A 17,621-nucleotide genomic window follows, 5' to 3' on the forward strand; every position below is an offset into this window, starting at 1 on the left:
GATCACGCCGCTGCACTCCAGCCTGGGTGACAAAGCGAGACACAGTCTCCAAAAAAATAAATAAATAAATAAATAAATAAATAATAATGAAATAACATGTATAAAGTGCTTTGCACAATTAATTAGGTATTGTTATTTTTATCTCATTTAATTCTCAAAACATTCCTATGACATTGTTATAACAATGTGATTATTATTATCCCCATTCTGCAAGCAAAAAAAAAAAAAAGGCTCAGAGAAGTTAAGTGATTTGTCCACGTTCACACAGCATATGGCAGAGCTGAGGCTAAAAGGCGAGCTGTCAGAGTCCAATGTCTACATGCTTGACCACTGTGCTGAAAACATTTTGCCAAATCTTTGATTTCCTGAGAATATTCTAACCATTGATAAATGTGCACCAAAGCAAGTTTTAATTAATTTTTTAAATTTGAAAATATTATTGGCCAGGTGCAGTGGCTCATACCTGTAATGCTAACACTTTGGAATGCCAAGGAGGGTGGATTGCCTGAGCTCAGGAGTTTCAGACCAGCCCGAACAACATGGCAAAACTCCATCTCTACAAAAAATGTAAAATAAAAAAAAAATAGCCAGGCATGGTGGCACATGCCTATAGTCCCAGCTACTTAGGAGGCTGAGGTGGGAGGATCACTTAAGTCTGGGAGGTGGAGGCTGCTGTGAGCTGTGTTCACACTACTGCACTCCAACCCAGGTGACAGAGTGAGACTTTGTCTCTCTCTATATATAGATATAGATATAGATATATAGATATAGATATGTTATTTACTAGCTCATTACTGTAGTCACACATAGTATATATCACTATCTTCAAAGTATTAAATGATGTATTCAAAATAACATGGTTCCTGGCTGGGTGTGGTGGCTTACGCCTGTAATCCCAACACTTTGGGAAGCTGAGGCGGGGGGAATCACCTGAGGTCAGTTAAAAATACAAAATACAAAAATTAGCCCGGCATGGTGGCGGGCGCCTGTAATCCCAGCTACTCCGGGGAGGCTGAGGCAGGAGAATCGCTTGAATCCGGGAGGCAGAGGTTGTGGTGAGCTGAGATGGCGCCATTGCACTCCAGTCTAGGCAACAAGAGAGAAACTCCGTCTCAAAATAATAATAATAATAACATGGTTGCAAAGTGTATTATTTAAAAGACTCTCCAATCCTATCCTTCCCCAGCCTATCTTTCATGTCCTGCTCCCCAGAGGCAGCCACCCTCAAACCTTATACCTTTTCACCTGGTACTTACCGCCATGCTTCTAAATAAGGAAGTTATACTGCAATTTCTTGACATCAATTTTTTTTTTTGAGACAGAGTCTTGCTCTGTTGCCCTGGCTGGAGCAGTGGTGCAATCTCAGCTCACCGCAACCTCTGCCTCCCAGGCTCAAGTGATTCTCCTGCCTCAGCCTCACAGGTAGCTGGGATTACCAGTTGTGCACCATGCCTGGTCTATTTTCGCTTTTTAGAAATGGGAATATGCTCTTGTTTTTCCATTTATGAATGCACAGTGGATCTAGTTTCAAGCTAGTTTCCCTTTAACTGTTTAATTCCCCTATTGACGTTCATCAAAATTGTTTCAAGTGTTGTCCCCCAAAATTTGCAGAGTACTAACTTCCTTTTGTAGTTTAAGTCCTGGTTACAACAACCTTGAAGAGTGACAGGTCTACCCCTTATTAAATCATCTGGGCCAGGTGCAGTGACTCACACCTATAATCCTAGCATTTTGGGAAGCCAAGTTGGGAGGTTCACTTGAGGCCAGGAGTTCCAGACCAGCCTGGGCAACATAGTGAGACCCTGTCTCTACGACAACTTTTTTAAAAACAGCTAGGTGTGGTGGTGCGTGCCTGTAGTCCCAGCTTCTCAGGAGGCTGAGGTGAAAGGATCACTTGAGCCCAAGAGTTTGAGGCTGCAGTGAGCTATGATTGTGCCACTGCACCCATTGTGACAGTATGGGTGACAGAGCGAGACCCTGTGTCAAACAACAACAACAACAACAACGAAAAAAAACCCATAAGTGCGACAATCTCTCCTATCCCAAATTTTCCCCTTGTCTATTGCCTACAGGATAGATTCAAATCTAAACTGCTTAGCCTAGCATACGAGGTTGTTCAGAATCTGGCCCAAAAAACCTTGCATTGTGACAATCTACACATACATCCAATGACCCACAGGCTCTCTTCACTCAACCTTATTGGTCTTTAGACTTTCAAGTGCATCAGCCTGTCTTGAATCTGGATCTTCCAACACACTCTCCTCTTTGTCTGGATAACTTTCTCTACTCCCTCATCACCAGGCTAAATGCTACTCATTCTTCAAGTCTCCATTGAAATATCACTTCCCCAGGGTCTTCTTTGACTTTCCTTCACCCTTGTCCATGCATCTTCACACTTGTAATTAACTTACTCAATGTCTGTTTTGTCTGCAATTCTCCATGCAGACAAAAGGAGGGTCTGTCTCCTTTACCCGCTATATCCCTAGCGCAATGTGTCACAGTGGGTGGCACATTGCAGATGTCAATAATTTTTTTGCTGAACCAGTGATGCTGAGTGACTCATTGGGAAATTTTACTGCTTCTAGATAATACCCAAGCACGTAGGTGCAGTCACATGTTGAATATTTGGTTCCAATGACAATGATAAGAAAGACACCAATCACTTACCAAAATAAAAGTATTCTAGTTTCTTTCTCAAAAGTGCCTTATACATTTTAAGAGATGCAATTATTTTCTAATATTTATTAATTTATTTATGGCTCTATCATTGTCAACCCATTTATTTTAAATGAGTCTTTTATAATCCAGTCATCTGAAGTAATTGAGATCCAATGTTTATTTCTACTGCCTCTTGCTCATGGTGGAGTGTTCCCTTGTGTGCTTTGTAATTTCAAACATGTAGATCTCTATATGTGGGAATCCCACACATCTAGGCTGAAGCTTTGTCATTTCCAAGTTTGTGTTTAGTTAATTTCTTGGCTTGGGGTTTCCATAGCATAAATTTGAACTCCAAATCTGTGTGAGTATAGTCTTGTTTTCTCATTCTAAAATATTTAATTAACAAATAAAGATTGGCTGGGTGTGGTAGCTCACACTTGTAATCCCAGTACTTTGGGAGGCTGAGGCAGGGGGATCACTTGAGCCTAGGAGTTTCAGACCAGCCTGGGCAATATAGTGAGACCTCGCTTTGTCACCCAGGCTGGAGTGCAATGGCGTGATCTTGGCTCACTGCAACCTCTGCCTCGTGGGTTCAAGCAATTCTCATGCCTCAGCCTCCCAAGTAGCTGGGATTATAGGCATGTGCCACCATGCTTGGCTAATTTTTGTATTTTTAGTAGAGACAGGGTTTTGCCATGTTGGACAGGCTGGTCTTGAACTCCTGGCCTCAAGTGATCCACCCTCCTCGGCCTCCAAAGTGCTGGGATTACAGGCTTGAGCCACTGCGCCCAGGCAAAAAGAAAAAAAAATAAATTAGCTAGGCATAGTGGCAGACACCTGTAGTCTCAGCTACTCAGGAGGCTGAGATGGGAGGATCACCTGAACCCAGGAGGCAGAGGTTGAAGTGAGCTGAGATCTCACCATGGCACTACAATCTGGGTGACAGAGAGAAACCCTGTCTCAAAAAAAAAAAAAAAAAAAAAAGCACAAAAAACAACAAATAAAGATTGTGCATACATATTCAAGGCATACAACATGATGATTTGATGTATGTATACGATATAAAATGATTGTCACAATCAAATTAATTAACACATCCCTCACCCGCCATAGTGCACATTAGATGCCCAGAACGTGCTCAATTTATAACTGAGAGTATAATCGTGACAAATGTAGAGGGGGAGTTTTTTCCACCTAGGACCCAGAATAAGACAGATAAGCTTCCTTGTCATTTCCCCACACTGGGTGGACAGATTTTTACGACCATTTTCCTTAAGGGTGTAACTCTTTGAGGGTCCTTATTTGGGTGGAGGTTGTAGTTCTAGTCCCACCAAAGCCTTGTCCCCTCCCTGTAGGAACTTTTAAAACTCAAACTCCAGCTGGGTGCTGTGGCTCATGCCTGTGATCCTAGCACTTTGGGAGGCCGAGGCGGGCGGATCATGAAGTCAGGAGATTGAGACCATCCTAGCTAACACGGTGAAACCCCATCTCTACTAAAAATACAAAAAAAATTAGCCGGGCATGGTGGCGGGTGCCTGTAGTCCCAGGTACTCGGGAGGCTGAGGCAGGAGACTGGCGTGAACCCGGAAGTTGGAGCTTGCAGTGAACCGAGATTGCGCCACTGCACTACAGCCTGGGTGACAGAGCGAGACTCCTTCTCAAAAAAAAAAAAAACAAAAAACAAAACCCTTCCAACCCCTTTCACCTCCATAAGGACCCAGTTCATCCTCACAGTTCTGTTTTTGTTTGTTTGTTTGCTTGTAGAGACAGAGTCTCCTGTCACCCAGGCTGGCGTGCAGTATTGCAATCATACCTCACTGCAGCCTCAACCTTCTTAGGCTCAAGTGATCCTCCTGCCTCAGCCTCCTGAAAGCTGAGACTAGTTTTTTTAAAAATGTTTTTGTAGAGACAGGGTCTGGCTATGTTGCCCAGGCTGGTCTTGAACTCCTGGGCCAAGAGATCCTCCCAGCCCTGCCTCCCAAAGTGCCAGCATTACAGGCATGAACTACCACACCCAACCCAAGTCTGGTTTTCACATCCTCTTTTTCTGATTCCTGAGGATTATCCCCATTTTCTGGCATTTAAGAGTGTGTTTGCTATATCTGGCCGGGCATGGTGGCTCACACCTGTAATCCCAGCACTTTGGGAGGCCGAGGTGGGTGGATCATTTGAGGTCAGGAGTTCGAGACCAGCCTGGCCAACATGATGAAACCCCATCTCTACTAAAAATACAAAAATTACCCAGGGGTGGTGGTGCGCACCTGTAATCCCAGCTACTAGGGAGGCTGACGCAGGAGAACTGCTTGAACCTGGGAGGTGGACGCTGCAGTGAGCCCAGATCACACCACTGCACTCCAGCCTGGGTGACAGAGCAAGACTCCATCTCAAAAAAAAAAAAAAATGTGTTTGCTCTATCTTATCCAGCATTTCTAGATGATTATTGGTATGAAAGTTTTTAGATTATCTGGCTCAAAATATTGCCAAAAATAGAAACCCAGTAGACTAATTTTTAGGCTTTTCCTCATTCGTGTTCAGGAGTCTATTTTTATAAAAAGTCACTTTGTTCCCCTCTTATTTTTTATATATTTACCACTTTTCTCTTCTTATATTTACAAGTTACATTACAGAACGAAATGCCCTATGCTAATCATATTCCTCGTATAAACTATTCTTTCTTCCCCCTTAGTATTTGGTTATCATTACTGGTTTTATTTCATCTCTTTTCCTAACAATGCTTTTATGTAATTTCCAGTAAACAGACACCTAATATAGCTAGTATTTGATCTGCTAAAATTGCCTTTTTTCAAAGAAAATACTATCCCAATCTTGCACGTTAAAAAAATACATACATTGGCTGAACACAGTGGTTCACGCCTGTAATCCCAGCACTTTGGGAGGCCGAGGCGGGTGGATCACCTGAGGTCAGGAGTTCGAGACCAGCCTGACCAACATGGTGAAACACTGTCTCTACCAAATACAAAAAAATCAGCCAGGCGTGGTGGTGTATGCCTATAATCCCTACTTGGGAGGCTGAGGCAAGAGAATCGCTTGAACGTGGGAGGCAGAGGTTGCAGTGAGCCGAGATTGCACCATTGCACTCCAGCCTGGGCAACTGAGCGAGACCCCATCTCAAAAAAATATATATATATATATTGTTGTCAACAAAACTGCTAGTGGTATTTCCATAATACCATTGGCAAAATGCTGGCAAACTTGGTAGCACAAGGTAGCTAAGTTTTTAAAAATTCAATACCAGTATTGCAAGTCATATTTATAATTCTTTTTAATTTTATTTTTTGAGGTAGAGTTTCATATGTCGCCCAGGCACGATCTCGGTTCACTGCAGCCTCCCAGTCCAGGGTTCAAGCAATTCCCCTGCCTCAGCCTCCCGAGTAGCTGGTATTACAGGCATGCACCACCATGCCCGGCTAATTTTTGTATTTTTAGTAGAGATTGGGTTTCGACACGTTTCCCAGGCTGGTCTGGAACTCCTGGCCTCAAGAGATCCACCCACCTCAGCCTCCCAAAGTGCTGAGATTACAGGCGTGAGCCACCGCACCAGGCCACAAGTCATATTTATAATTCTAATGAAAATTTTGACTTGCTTAAAACTTCCTTTTGGGCCCAGATAAGTTAAGTTTCTTTTGCTCTTAGATCTAAGAATGTATGCATATAAATATTTCTATTGTTATACAAGTATATCAGGTGTACTTCATATAGATCATATTTGCAGTCTAGGAGTGCCATAGTAGGGCACCCAGTTATTAATACTGCACATTCTTACACATAGCTTACTTGGAATTTCTCATTTACATGACACCAAGTGAAAATTAGTTAAGTACTGCAGTGACTGCTTTTGTTACTGCTATCATCAAAGTCACACATTAACTAACTTACAAAGAAATCACTCTTCATGACAGAAACACTTGCAGCTGAAACAGTTTGTAAATGCATCTATAAAGCTTTTTCAAAAGGACCTTAAAAAAAAGTTCTTATATTATGTCAGCTTGGGTCAATTAACATTCTACATTCTACCTGCTTCATATATATAGAGAGAGAGTCTCGCTTTGCCGCCCAGGCTGGAGTGCAGTGGTGCAATCTCAGCTCACTGCAACCTCCACCTCCAGGGTTCAAGCAATTCTCATGCCTCAGCCTTCCGAGTAGCTGGGTTTATAGGCATGTGCCACTATCCCTGGCTAATTTTTGTATTTTTAGTAGAGACGGGGTTTCACCATGTTGCCCAGGCTGATCTCGAATTCCTGACCTCCAGTGATCTGCCCGCCTCGGCCTCGCAAAGTGCGGGGACTACGGGAGTGAGCCACCTCACCTGGCCACCTACCTGCCTTTTTTTCTCAACCTCCAAAAACTTTTAAGAGTTTGTAAATCCCAATTTTAAGGATTTAGAAAATTGTCATTTTAATAAGTCATCTATTGCTGCATAACAGACCACATTTAAAGATAATGGTTTAAAAATAAAAATTAATTTATGTTATTTTATAGGGACAGGGTATTTCTCTGTTATCCAGGCTGGAGTGCAGTGGTTCAATCACAGCTCACTCCAGACTCTAACTCATGGCCTCAAGTGATCATCCCACCTCAGCCTTCCAAGTAGCTGGGAACTACAGGGATGCCACTATGCCTGGCTAATTTTTGTTACTTTTGTAGGGACAGGGTCTCACTATGTTGCCCAGGCTGGAACAACTGTTTTATTTGCTCATAAGTCTGTGGGTCTGGGACTCTGGCTGAGCTCAGAGGGGCAGTTCTGTATTGATATGGTTTGGCTGTGTCCCCACCTAAATCTCATCTTGAATTGTAACTCTCATAATTCCCACAGGTTGTGGGAGGGACCCAGTGGGAGATAACTGAATCATGGGGGCGGTTTCCCCTGTACTGTTCTTGTGGTAGTGAATAAGTCTCACAAGATCTGATGGTTTTATAAGGGGAAACCCCTTTTGCTTGGTTCTCATTCTCTCTCTTGCCTGCAGCCATATAAGATGTGCCTTTGCTCCTCCTTGCCTTCCACCATGATTGTGAGTCCATGTGGAACTGTGAGTCCCTTAAACCTCTTTCCTTTATGAATTACCCAGTCTCTAGTATGTCTTTATCAGCAGTATGAGAACAGACTAATACATGTGTTCCACGTGGTGTCAGCTCTAGTGGCTTCCTGTGGGGCTGGCAGATCCAAGATGGCCTCACACGGCTGTCACTTCAGCTGAATTGGCTCCAACGACTGGGCACTGGTGAGGATAGCTGGGCTTCTTTTCCTGTGGAGTTGGCTGGACTTCCTCATGAGTGTGGGGCCTGGGTTCTGGCTGTTATCTGGGTTCCTCGGGTCCCCTTTACTTCACCTCTTTCCCCAGTAGGATGGCATGGGTGTTCTCACAGGGCAGACGGTATTCCCTAGAGTTACAGTAGAAACTTCCAGACCTCAGCTTGGAAGTCCCAGAACAGCAACAGCATTTTCACTGCAATCCATTAGCCAAAGCAAGTCAAAGGCCGGCCCAGATTCAAGGATTGAGGAAAAAGATTCCACTTCTTGAGAGAAAAAGCTGCACGCACCCACTGGGATAAAGGAATTGTTGGCGGCCATCTTTGCAGACCAATCTACCACAGTCACTTTCCCCCAGTAAGACAGCAGCCATTCTATTAAAAAGTTGCTACCAATCAAAGGGGATGTTTATTAACTATAGTTTAGTACTAGTATTAGGGTAGTTCGTAGTACTTTTTTTTTTTTTTTTTGAGACAGAGTTTCACTCTTTCGCCCAGGCTGTAGTGCAGTGGCACGATCTCAGCTCACTTCAACCTCTGCCCCCCAGGTTCAAGTGATTCTCCTGACTCAGCCTCCTGAGTAGCTGGGATTATAGGTGCCCAGCACCACACTGGTCTAATTTTTTTTTTTTTTTTTTGTATTTTTGGTAGCGACGGGGTTTCACCATGTTGGCCAAGCTGGTCTGGAACTCCTGACCTCAGGTGATCCACGCACCTCAGCCTCCCAGAGTGCTAGGATTACAGGCGTAAGCCATCACGCCTGGCCAGTTTATAGTACTTTGACTAAAGACGTCAAGGTACTTTCCCAATAAAAATGTATTTAGGGCGGTGTTTGAATGTCACTGTTATTTTTTAACACTTACAATTTTAAGTGAGAAAGAGCAATCTCACTTAATTAACGTTAAAGCTTAAGCTAAATTCTCCCAGTCTTTAGGATCTGAGGGGTTACCTTTAGTTTATTACCTCTGTGTGTGTCTTCTGCCTGGTGGTCACTTAGGAGTATGGAAGACATGAATAAATTATCTTGTTTTGTTTGTTTGTTTGTTTGTTGAGACAGGGTCTCGCTCTGTTGCCCAGGCTGGAGTTCAATCACAGCTTACTGCAGCATTGACCTCCTGAGCTCAAGCATTCCTCCTGCCTCTGCCTCCCGAGTAGCTAAGACCACAGGCATGCACCACCACGCCTGGCTAATTTTTAATTTTTTGTAGAGATGGGGTTTCACCTTGTTGCTCAGGCTTACCTGGAACTCCTGGGCCCAAGCCCTCCTCCCGCCTTGGCCTCCCAAAGTGCTAGGATTACAGGCGTGAGCCACCATGCCCAGCCTTGTTTTCTCATTCTCATAATACCATATTGCAGACTTGGAATAACTTTCTAATCCTACTAATTGTTTTTAAAGAAAAAACACGATTTTGATTTCGCAAATTTTATCACACCAAGTTCCCCACATTTGGGTACACCAAGATCTTACCATTGAAACCCTTCCTGGTGTTAAGCAGATGGATAATTTTGAAATATGTATGTATGGAATTAAAGTTCTGTGACTATCCAAATATGACAACTTCTTCCATGGCATTTGGAATTATGCAATAGAAAATGTTTTCAGTGATGCCCTTTTATGTGTTAATTTTGCCAAATTTATTCTCAATTATAATTTCAAATCACCTGAGCAACAGAAGAAAACTAGAAGTTGTATCAAAACCAAGAACTTATTTGAGTTTAGCATTAAGGACAGATTTTTAATTAATTGGCTCAAACTGACGATAACCCATATTCAACAAGCCAGTTCTGGTTGACATTTCCCAAAATATGACATATTGAATATGTTATTTTTGTCCAATATCTCTTAAATTAAGAAAAAAACTAAAGCAGAGGATATAAAATGATTTACTCTCATGTGACTCAGGAAACTTTAGTTACTCTTTTAAGAAAGAAATTTGCTTTTGTTAAAATTTGTACTTTAAATGATCTTTAAATTTCAAGTCCTAATAAACAAAAACTAGCTGAGTGTGGTGATATGTGCCTGTAGTCCCAGCTACTAGAGAGGCTGAGGTGGGAGGATGGAGCAAGACTGGGGGATGGTGCCACCACTGCACTCCAGCCTGGGCAACAGAGCAAGACCCTGTCACAAAACAAAACAAAACAAGAAAAACAAATGTTTTTCAAGCCTTTTTCATGACACAATTGTCCAATCTTCATATTAGTGAATGTGCCAGATATTTTAATTTCCTGCAGATCTGCCAAGTTTCTTCAGTTCAGAGCAAGACTTACTCTAAGGTGCTTCTCATTTAAAAGAATAATCTTAAAGCATTTTAAAAAATATATTTTGATAGTCTATATTTGAACCACAAAAAATATCTTCAAGCTTAAAAATTCTCCTCCATATTGACTTGGGGCAAACTTGGTGCCTCAATTTTGTTTTCTTTTCTTTAGTATTATTATTATTATTATTATTATTATTATTATTATTATTATTATTCTAATAGAGATGAAATTTTGCCTTGTGGCCCAGGCTGGTCTTGAACTCCTGGGCTCAAGCAATTCACCTGCATTGGCCTCCCAAAATCTGGGATTACAGGTATGCAGCACCATGCCTGGCCCAATTTTCTTTTCTTTTCTTTTTTTTTTGAGAGGGAATCTTGCTCTGTCACCCAGGCTGGAGTGCAATGGTATGATCTCAGCTCACTGCAACCTTCACCTCCTGGGTTTCAGTGATTCTCCTGCTGCAGCCTCCCGAGTAGCTGGGATTACAGGCATGTGCCACCACGCCCGGCTAATTTTTGTATTTTTAGTAGAGGTGGGGTTTCACCATGTTGGCCAGACTGGTCTCGAACTCCTGACCTCAGGTAATCTGCCTGCCTTGGCCTCCCAAAGTGCTGGGATTGCAGGCATTAGCTACTGCGGCCTGGCCCAATTTTCAATGCTTACTCTCTTGCTGTAATTTTCAGCATTGCATTTATTTAAAATGTACATTTTAGGGGCCACGTGTGATGGCTCATGCCTGTAATCCCAGCACTTTGGGAGGCTGAGGCGGGGGGGATCACTTGAGGTCAGTAGTTCAAGACCAGCCTGGCCAACACGTTGAAACCCCATCTCTACTGATAAATACAAAAATTAGCCAGGTGTGGTGGTGCACATTTGTAATCCCAGCTACTTGGGAGGCTGAGGCAGGAGGATCGCTTGAACCTGGGAGACAGAGGTTACGGTGAGCCAAGATTGCACCATTGCACTCCAGCCTGGATGACAGAGACAGACTCCATCTCAAAAAAATAAAAATTAAAAATTAAAATATGCACTTTAAAAATCACATTGCCTGGCCAGGTGCAGTGGCTCACAACTGTAATGCCAGCACTTTGGGAGGCTGAGGCAGGTGGATCTCTTGAGCCCAGGAGTTCAAGACCAGCCTGGGCAATATGGTGAAACCCTGTCTCTACAAAAAATACCAAAATATTAGCCGGGCATGGTGGCATGTACCTGTGGTCCCAGTTACTCGAGAGGCTGAGGTGAAAGGATTGCTTGAGGCCAGGAGGCAGAGGCTACAGTGAGCTGAAATAGAGCCACTGCACTCCAGCCTGGACAAGAGTGATACCCTGTCAAAAAAAAAAAAAGCCATTAAACTTGGGCCAAATGCTTTGAAAGAGTGAGTTTAGAGGAACTGGAGGAATGGGATAAAATGTCTATAAACAGCCATTCTTTGTGTAGCATCTACTATATAACAAAATGTTGTGTAACTCTGCCATGCAACATAAATAATGCTACTGATTTGCATTTTCTTATTACTTGGCATTCTCAAATGAATTCTACAGTCTTTTGCCAATATTAAGGTCTATTTCTCACTTCCTTACATCCCCAGGGTCCCTAGTATGATGGCAGAGGGGCAATAAACTGTCCCCTTGTTGTGCACACAGAGCTTACAATAGGTATGCACCCAATTGCTTTTTCATCTCTGCATTTTCTTTTTTAATTTACTTGCTTTTTTTTTTTTTTTTTGAGATGGAGTCTCACTCTGTCACCCAGGCTGGGGTGCAATGGCATGATTTTGGCTCACTGCAACCTCTGCCTCCCAGGTTCCAGTGATTCTTCCGCCCCAGCCTCCTGAGTAGCTGGGATTACAGGCACCCGCCATCATGCCTGGCTAATTTTTTGTATTTTTGTAGAGACAGGGTTTCACCACGTTGGCCAGGCTGGTCTTGAACTCCTGACCTCAGGTGATCCGCCTGCCTTGGCCTCCCAAAGTGCTGGGATTACAGGCGTGAGCCACCGTGCCCAGCCCATCTCCGCATTTTTAATGTCACAAACCCAAAAGCTGTGTGGTCTCAGGCTGGACCACTGCCAAACATGGCTAGGATAATGTAAGTACTTTGACCACATCCTTATTAACACCTTTTTATCTTTCTCAGTCCCCACGACTTTGGGGTTTCTAGCCTAGGGAAATTACACGGGATTCCATGTAGGGAGAAAAAGGGAAAATTTCAAAATAAATCTTTTTTAAATTTTACCAGCCTAGAGGGACTATTATTAGTGTGACAGAATAACATGGTTGAGAAATTAACTAGACTTATTAATATTTACTGCTGCAGACTCAATACAAAAGACTAAGGAGGATTTCTTCCCCACAAGCGATTAAGCCTTAGAGTTCTGGAATATTGGGCTTGCCTCGTCCAGGGGAACTTGAAAGCCTAGAAACTTTGGGACTTAAATTTGAATTGTCAAAACGCCAGGCCCTTCAAGGGGAGGAGGTGAGAGTGTTGTATGAGAGCAGAGTGGCCCAAGTCCCTGAAGAATTCACAGTGAGGGTGTAGAACAGGCTTGAGAGGCAGGACAGTGGGATAGAGATATCAAGTTGGTGCAAAAGTAATTGTGGTTTTTGCCAATGGCAAAAACTTGATACAATGCAGTGGTATCTGGGGCTTGGCAACTGAAGTGTGCTTACCAATTGCCTGGAGACCTTGTTACAATGGAGATTTGGATTCAGGAGGTCAGGAGTGGAGCCAGAGACTGCACTTCTAAGAAGCTCCCAGGTTGTGTGAAGGCTGCTGCTCCCTGGACCTTGCTTTGAGTAACAAGAGTGCAGATCACATCCTGTCTTCATAGATTAATACTTCTCTTGGAGGAAAAGGAGGGGAGAGGTGATAAGAAGGACTTTGAAGGACGAGCACAGGGAAGTTTAAACCCCAAACTCTTGTGGCACTGGGTGCAATGAAAAATGTTCTGGGTGGCTAAGTTGTACACTGAGAAAACCAACACTATTACCCACAGATCTGCTGATCTTCAAGGGAATCGTTTCATCCTGCACAAAGAGCATCTATTACAACAGATGATATAAAGAATTGAAGACCTATAATCCCAGCACTTTGGGAGGCCAGGGCAGGTGGATCACCTGAGGTCAGGAGTTCAAGACCAGCCTGGCCAATATGGTGAAACCCTGTCTCTACTAAAAATACAAAAAAAATAGCCAGGCGTAGTGGTGGATGCCTGTAATCCCAGCTACTCAGGAGGCTAAGGCAGGAGAATTGCTTGAACCTTGGAGGCAAAGGATGCAGTGAGTCGAGATCATACCATTGCATCCCAACCTGGGCAACAAGAGCGAAACTCCATCACACACACAAAAAAAAGAATTGAAGACCAACTGGGCCCAGTGGCTCATGCCTGTGATCCCAGCACTTTGAGAGGCCAAGGCGGGAGGATTACTTGAGCCCAGAGTTCAAAACCAGCCTGGGCAACATGGTGAGACCCCATCTGTACAAAAAATTTAAAAGGCCGGGCGCGGTGGCTCACGCCTGTAATCCCAGCACTTTGGGAGGCTGAGGCGGGCAGATCACAAGGTCAAGAGATTGAGACCATCCTGGCTAACACAGTGAAACCCCGTCTCTACTAAAAATACAAAAAAAATTAGCTGGGTGTGATGGCAGGCACCTGTAGTCCCAGCTACTCGGGAGGCTGAGGCAGGAGAATGGCGTGAACCCAGGAGGTGGAGCTTGCAATGAGCCGACATCGCGTCACTGCACTCCAGCCTGGGCCACAGAGTGAGATTCCGTCTCAAAAAAAAATAAAAATAAAAAAATATTTTAAAAATTAGCTGGGCATGGTGGCACATGCCTGTAATCACAGCTACTCGGGAGGCTGAGGCGAGAGGATCACCTGAGCCCAAGGAGGTCGAGGCTACAGGGAGCCATGATCAGGGCACTGCACTCCAGCCTGAGTGACAGAGCGAGACTCTGAATCAAAATAAATAAATAAATCGAAGACAGCTGGGCACAGTGGCTCACACCTGTCATCCCAGCACTTTAGGAGGTCAAGGCAAGAGGATCACTTGAGCCCAGGAGTTCAAGACCAGCCTTGACAACATAGTGAGACCCCATCTCTACAAAAAATTTAAAAATTAGCCAGGTGTGGCGGCACATGCCTGTAGTCTCAGCTACGCCAGAGGCTGAGGCAGGAGGATCACTTGAGCCTAGGAGGTTGAGCCTGCAGTGAGCCGTGATTGCACCATTGCATTCTATCCTGGGCAACAGAGTGAGATGCTATCACTAAACTTTAAAAATAATAATAATAATAATAAAAGAATTGAAGACCAAAAGCCTTTCTCCAAATTTTCTGGCCTATTTCCACAACCTCCTAGGCATCTTGAATGGCCCCAGGGAAGGGAAGAAACCCAACCCGTCATTCCCAACAGAATCAATTTCCAAAATACCTTAGCTTGAGAGGGCAACAGTGAAGGACATTAAGCCGGATACATTTAACTGAGAAAAACAATGAAATGTGAATTTTCTTGAGCCCCAGTATATGGAGCAAATTCATATGAGTTAACCCTTCCAATCTGAAAATTAGAATCAGATTCAGGACATGGTAAATAACCATCTATTAGTTACTTAATCAACACATGTTAGAGGATGATGAACAAGAGAAAGTTTCTGACAAGAGAAAGTAGTTGGGGGAAAGAGGACCTCAGGTCTTTGAGTCCTGATCAGTCAGTCTAGGGTTTTGCCGTGGTCATCGAAGACAATGGATTTTCCCGTTATACACACTCTTCAAATTGCCCTTTGAGATGTTTTTCTCCTTCAAGTCCTCCCTGTTTATTTAAACATGATTTCACCAGTATAAACACATTCAGGAGAAAGACCCAGTTTGATTTTCTTCTGCCAGCATCTTCCAAAGATAGCCTTGAATTCCATTCTCATAAGAAGAAGTCTTAAAAATAAACAAAGGCGGCCAGGCACGGTGGCTGTAATCCCAGCACTTTGGGAAGCCGAGGCGGGCAGATCACTCCAGGTCAGGAGTTCGAGACCAGCCTGGCCAACACGGTGAAACCTCATCTCTACTAAAAATACAAAAATTAGCCAGGTGTGGTGGTGGGCACCTGTAATTCCAACTACACGGGAGGCTGAGGCAGGAGAATTGCTTGAACCCGGGAGGCAGAGGTTGCAGGAAGCCAAGATTGCGCCACTGCACTCCAGCCTGGGTAACAGAGCAAGACTCTATCTCAAAAAAAAAAAACTAAATAAATAAAATAAACAAAGGCAGTAAGTGCTTTGTCCAAACCCAAGTTTCTTCCAAAGCTGAGAGTAGTGAAATCCTGGGCTCCCTTTCTCTAATCCAATACTAAGAGCAAATGCCTTGTGTTGGTAATTTTGCTTGTAATGTATGATCCTGCCATCTCCAGGACTTGATGTTTTATTAAACTGTTTCCAAATCTGATGGTGATTATATAAGAAAAGTTTGTACTTGTGCTCATTAATGTTACAATTCACACAGATATATCACCTTTACTTGCCAGTAATGCCCCAGAAGGGCTAAACCACAGGCAGAAGGGGAAAGTAAAAAGAAATGACTACATCTTTGCCTGATCATCTGTCCTGACAAATTGGAAGTCACAAAGTGATCCGTATAGTGTTTGTGCCTGGCCAGCAGTTTGTTTTTAATTAGTTGCCAACATTTAATATAGAAGGATTTCATATAAAATCCAAATTTCACCCAGGCACCATGGCTCACACCTGTAGTCATGATGCTTTGAGAGGCCAAAGCGGGCGGATTACTTGGGCTCAGGAGTTCAACACCAGCCTGGGAAACATAGCGAGACCCCATCTCTACCAAAAAAATTTTTTAATTAGCAGGGTGTGATGGTGCATGCCTATAGTCCCAGCCACTCAGGAGGCTGACGGGGGAGGATTGCTTGAGCCCAGGAGTTCAAGGCTTCAGTGAGCTAGGATTCCATCACCCCACTCCAGCCTGGGCCACAGAGACCCTGTCTCTAAAATAATAAATAGGCTTGGTGAGGTGGCTCATGCCTGTATTCCCAGCACTTTGGGAGCCCGAGGCAGGAGGACTGCTTGAATCCAGGAGTTCGAGACCAGTTTTGAGACCCTGTCTCAAAAATAAAATAAGATAAAATCCAAATTTCTGATTTTGCTTGAAAAATCCGAAGAACTGGCAACATTTGACTATAATCCCTCATGGCGGAATACTGGTGTGATAAACACCTGTGATACCTTTGGTCACCAGCTTTTGAACCCCTCTCCTTTATTCAAGGATGTCCCCAATTCACAAGTCTTGGTGGGAGGCAGATGTCATTTCCCACTGTTCGAACAATATACCCGATACTTACCAGCATGCACCAGGCTTGGCCAATTAAGCGTGTCTCCCAGGCTTATAAATGGGGTGCTAATTTTAGGAAGAATCCAGGACAAGAAAGAATTGTTGAATTATTTCTGGCAGTGGATGGTGAAAGCAAAATCCAGTTTCTAGGAACAGCGAGGGCGGTAGGGGCAGTGGTATTCCATGGTTGGCAGCAGCAACAGTTTCTTAACTGGCTGGATTTGGTGGAGTAATTTTGATCATGGTTTCAGTTGCACAGCCTGTCTGCCCCATTTTCCAAGCTCAGTACTCCAGCCTCGTATAATAGTGATTATATGGCCGGGTGCGGTGGCTCATGCATGTAATTCCAGCACTTTGTGAGGCCAAGGCGGGCGGATCCTCTGAAGTTAGGAGTTCAAGACCAGCCTGGCCAATGTGACAAAACCCCGTCACTACTAAAAATACAAATAAATAAAAAAATAAAAATAAAAATAAGAATTAGCTGGGTGTGGTGGCGGGCGTCTGTAGTCCCAGCTACCCAGGAAGCTGAGGCAGGAGAATTGCTTGAACCTGGGAGGCGGAGGTTGCAGTGAGCCGAGATCGCGCCACTGCACTCCAGCCTGGGTGACAGAGTGAGACTCCGTCTCAAAAAAAGTGCTTATACAAGCTATCCAACATTTCATTATTACATTCCCCATCTGCTTAAATCTTATATTTAAAACTTCAGCCCCTGGCCAGGTGCGGTGGCTCATGCCTGTATTCCCAACACTTTGGGAGGCCGAGGCGGGTGGATCACGAGGTCAGGAGATCAAGACCATCCTGGCTAACACGGTGAAACCCCGTCTCTACTAAAAATACAAAAAAATTAGCCGGGCGTGGTGGCGGGCGCCTGTAGTCCCAGCTACTCGGGAGGCTGAGGCAGGAGAATGGCGTGAACCCGGGAGGCGGAGCTTGCAGTGAGCCGAGATCGCGCCACTGCACTCTAGCCTGGGTGACAGAGCGAGACTCTGTCTCAAAAAAAAAAAAAAAAAAAAAAAAAAAAAAACTTCAACCCCCTTGAGGCACGCCATAGTTTCCACCCAACCCTCTAGAGTCCTTTATAGATTAACTTCCAGGCTACTTAG

General features: G+C 43.9%; 1 annotated feature.

The window, feature by feature from the left end:
• Positions 11,993 to 12,185: a silencer, noted in NCBI's record as "fragment chr12:118442171-118442363 (GRCh37/hg19 assembly coordinates)". NCBI's record gives its function as "represses an EF-1alpha promoter that drives an FKBP-Casp9 reporter gene in an ReSE screen in phorbol 12-myristate 13-acetate-treated (for megakaryocytic differentiation) K562 erythroleukemia cells {active_cell/tissue: K562(+PMA)}" and the evidence as "EXISTENCE:reporter gene assay evidence [ECO:0000049][PMID:32094911]".

Source organism: Homo sapiens, chromosome 12, assembly GCF_000001405.40.
Source record: "Homo sapiens chromosome 12, GRCh38.p14 Primary Assembly".
Classification (NCBI taxonomy): domain Eukaryota; kingdom Metazoa; phylum Chordata; class Mammalia; order Primates; family Hominidae; genus Homo; species Homo sapiens.